The 3,605-nt window shown below is 47.9% G+C and overlaps 1 long non-coding RNA gene across 1 annotated transcript; it reads left to right on the top strand.

The window, feature by feature from the left end:
• Window positions 1-1,234: 1,234 nt before the first annotated feature.
• LOC124904928 (uncharacterized) lies at window positions 1,235-3,279 on the top strand. Its single transcript, XR_007067641.1, has 2 exons — window positions 1,235-1,481; window positions 2,378-3,279. It is a non-coding gene; the product is annotated as an uncharacterized LOC124904928 (long non-coding RNA).
• Window positions 3,280-3,605: the final 326 nt, after the last annotated feature.

Below are 3,605 nucleotides of genomic sequence, written 5' to 3'. Positions count from 1 at the left end.
GGCTACGAACACCCAAGCAAGACACACAGATGATTGAAGGCAGTCAGGTGGGATGCAGTAGGGAATGGTGGAGACTGTGGTGAAGTGGAGAGTCCCCGAGATGCAACTCAGCATCAATCCATTGCTGCCTTGCAAAAATAAGGGCCCAGTGTGGTCGGGACTTTTGGACAAGCCAGGTGTTTTATGTGAACTCCCTGGATTTGTAGTAGAAGATGGGAGTCCATTTTTGTTTTTTGCTGATAGTGGGCTCGGCTGGGGTCCTGGATTAAATATTCCATTTTCCCAGTGAGTTGAAATATTATCTTTGTCCTGATCCTTCTCATTGTTCTTTCATTTTGTACTTTTTTCTTTGTGAACTCAAAGATTGTTTTATCCAACTAAAAAAACCTTGTGGGTCGCTACTTTAAATTGCATTAAGTTTTATGTATGTTGGCAGAATGGTCATCTTAAGGATGTGAAATCTTCCCATCCAATTATTCTCATCTTATTTGGTGCCCTTTGGGAGGATTTTCAAAGTTTTCTTCCAAAATATCTTGATTTTTAAAATAATGCCAAAATTCCAAGCTGTTTGAACTGCATGGGCCAAGCAACATCTCCTGGGGGCTGTGTTTGGCCCAGGGGATCCCTGTTGCTCCCTGAGATTCAGGGCAGCCTCACCCCATGGGGGAGACTGAACACGCTGTCATTCAAAGATAACCCTGTCCCAGGCGGGAAGATCTCCAGCGCCAGAGAACTGGGGGCAGACTGGGCTGGGAAACTCTGGGATGTTCGCTGCTTGACCCACTCTGTGGGAAGCCAGTGTGCCCACTTCCTTCACACTCAGCCAGATAAGCCCGCCGAGGCTGTGCCTTCCTGCTGAGGCTCCTGCCAGCTCATTTTTGACCAGCACTTAAAACAACAATTAAAAACAACTCATATGGTGTGCTTTGCTTTTGAAAAAGCAAAGCAATTTTTTCACTTTGTATTTTTATTTTTGAGACAAGGTCTAGCTGTCACCAAGGCTGGAGTGCAGTGGCATGATTACGGCTCACTGCAGCCTCGACCTCTTGGGTTCAAGCAGTCCTCCCACTTCAGCCTCCGGAGTAGCTGGAACTACAGGCAGGTATCACCACGCCCTGCTAATACTTTAATTTTTTTTTTTTTATAGAGATAGGGTCTCACTATGTTGCCCAGATGGGTGTTGAACTCCTAGACTCAAGCGATCCTCCCGCCTCATCCACCCAAAGTGCTGGGATTACAGGTGTGAGCCACCTTGCCCAGTGTGCAAAGTACATTTTTTAAAAATAAGAAAACACCTTCCGTTGGTCCAGGAATATGTATTGAGATCCACTAGTGCCAGGCACTGGGCAAGGCTCTGGGGACGGGGTGAAGTTCCTGCTTTCCTGGGTCTGAAGCTCTAGCGGGGAACACAGGCGATAAGCCCAGAAACAGATGAAAAAATACGGCGCATTCCAGCGACGGTCAGGGCAGAAAGAGATAAGGTGAGTGGAATAAGAGGGACCGGAGGGCCACCTTAGGCAAGAGCTTGGGGACGACCTCTCAGCAGAGGTGACATTTTGCCGAGACGGGAATGACGAGAAGGAGACAGCGGTGGGACTCCTGTCTCAATGGTCACTCTGATACTCAGGAAAGCACTGTGGCTTTTGGGCATTTAACCGGCCAAACTTTTTTGCCTAATTATATTTTTATATTTTGTTATTTATTTATTTAATTTATATATTACATGTTTGCATTTTCTAAAAACCAAAAGTAGCCATGCAGTGTTTTATAACTGCCTATTTTTCCTACTTGAAGCCTCAGTTTCCCCATGTGTCAACTGGAGATGTTCTCAGTAGCCACCCCACGTGAAGGCAAAACACAGGCCGATGTGAGGATTTGCTAAGGAAATGACCTATGGAACACAATTGATCCAAAGATGAGCAATTATTGGTATATTTTTATTATCATTTTATTATTATTTTTATGAGTCCCAAGAGGTGGAGATTGGCATTTCCATTTTGCAGGTGAGATTTTTCAGCCTCAGAGAGTCACACATCAAAGGCTGAGATGCGAGCAGTTGGACAGAGGGCAGGACGGCATTCCTCTGACCCCCCAGCCTGAATACAGTGAAACCTCAGCCAGATAGAGCCCCTTTTTCTTGGGAGAGGAAGTCGAGGCTGAAACCAGCTGCTTCTTTTTGGTCGTTTTTTTCCCTTTCTGCGATGTTTGTTTTTGTGAACATCGTACTTATCTGATGTCACAGGTTTTGGGAACCTAAACCACAGACATAAATACATTGTGTTGTGCTTTGAAGGATTGTGCAGCGAGATAAGTGAGTTTGGTGATGGGGGGATACAGCGTGCATGGACGCAGGGCTTTTTTTTTTTTTTTTTTGCAGAACTAAGAACGTCAATGTTTGTTCTCGGGTTCAAAGAAGTCAGCGTCTTTGGCGGGAGCTGGGCCACCATCGCCCGGACCACGCTGGGGTGCTAAGTGCTCACATCCTCCCCAGCACTGTCCTCAACAGCCAAGAGGCAGGCACAGGGGAAAACCCACCAGCAACACCAGCACCACAGCGTCCACACCCGCCGAGGATGCTGCACAAAAGGCCCATGGACCAGGGTGCCTGGGGGCAGGGCATGCTGGGCACCGTCCATCTTCTGGCAGCTTCTGGTTAACCCGAAAATCCTGTTTGGTTTTCCTGTGTCTTTTGAGAATGTCACTCAAACCCCTGAATCCTCTCTGTGATCTAAGTGTCATGAGGCCTGCAAAACCTCGCTTCCTGCAGCAGACTTCTCCGCTTCCTGGCCCCCATGAAGACTGTTATCCACAAGTAGCCAGAGGGATTCTGTAAAAATCAAAGTCAGGGCAGGGCCCTCCTCTGCTCAAAACCCTCCCATGGCTCCCTACTTCACTCAGGGAGGAAGCCACGCCCATATTGTAGCCTCTTCCACCTCTCACACTCATTGCACAGGCGGCCACCAAGCCCCTTTCTACCCCAGTGCCTTTGCACTTGCCACCCCCTTACTTCATTGCAATCCCTTCTTAGCAGAGAGGCTGACCCTGAATTCCCTCCTGAAATAGTGACCCTTCTCAAATAAGTCTCCCCTCGCCTTGCCTTATTTGTCTTCATATCTGTTCGTCACTACCTGACATGTTAGATATTTATTATTTTCTCTCTTGCCGTTGGGCCTAAGTTCCCAGGGCCTCTCATGTTTCTCCAGCGCCCAGAGGCTGACTGGCTTATGGAGTGAGCGCAATCATTTCCTTTTGTGTGTGAATAAATGAAAGAATCTTGGACCTGACCGCTTCAGACCAAGGGGTTTAGCCCAGGTCTCTGGGACAATGAGGATTCTTAAGGATTTTTCACTGGGGATTGACAGAACCAATTGGTTTGGGAGAGATCACTGCAGCTTCTGAAAGAAGCCACCTGTCCCATGAGGGCATGTGCCATATGGAATACAGACAACTTGATATCAGTGCCCCCCTCCTCGGAGGGTGGGGGGAGGGGGGCGGGTGTTTCAGGAATTAAATCAGAAAATATTGGGATGAGGCTTAGCCCTGTCCTTGGCGCACAGGAAGTACTCAGCCAGTGGTCATGATCAGCATCAGCTGTAGCATGAACG

The sequence above is a fragment of the Homo sapiens genome, chromosome 20 (genome assembly GCF_000001405.40).
Source record: "Homo sapiens chromosome 20, GRCh38.p14 Primary Assembly".
Taxonomy (NCBI): Eukaryota; Metazoa; Chordata; class Mammalia; order Primates; family Hominidae; genus Homo; species Homo sapiens.
The sequence above is the reverse complement of the archived record's forward strand: the minus strand, read 5'-3'. Positions and strand labels throughout refer to the sequence as shown.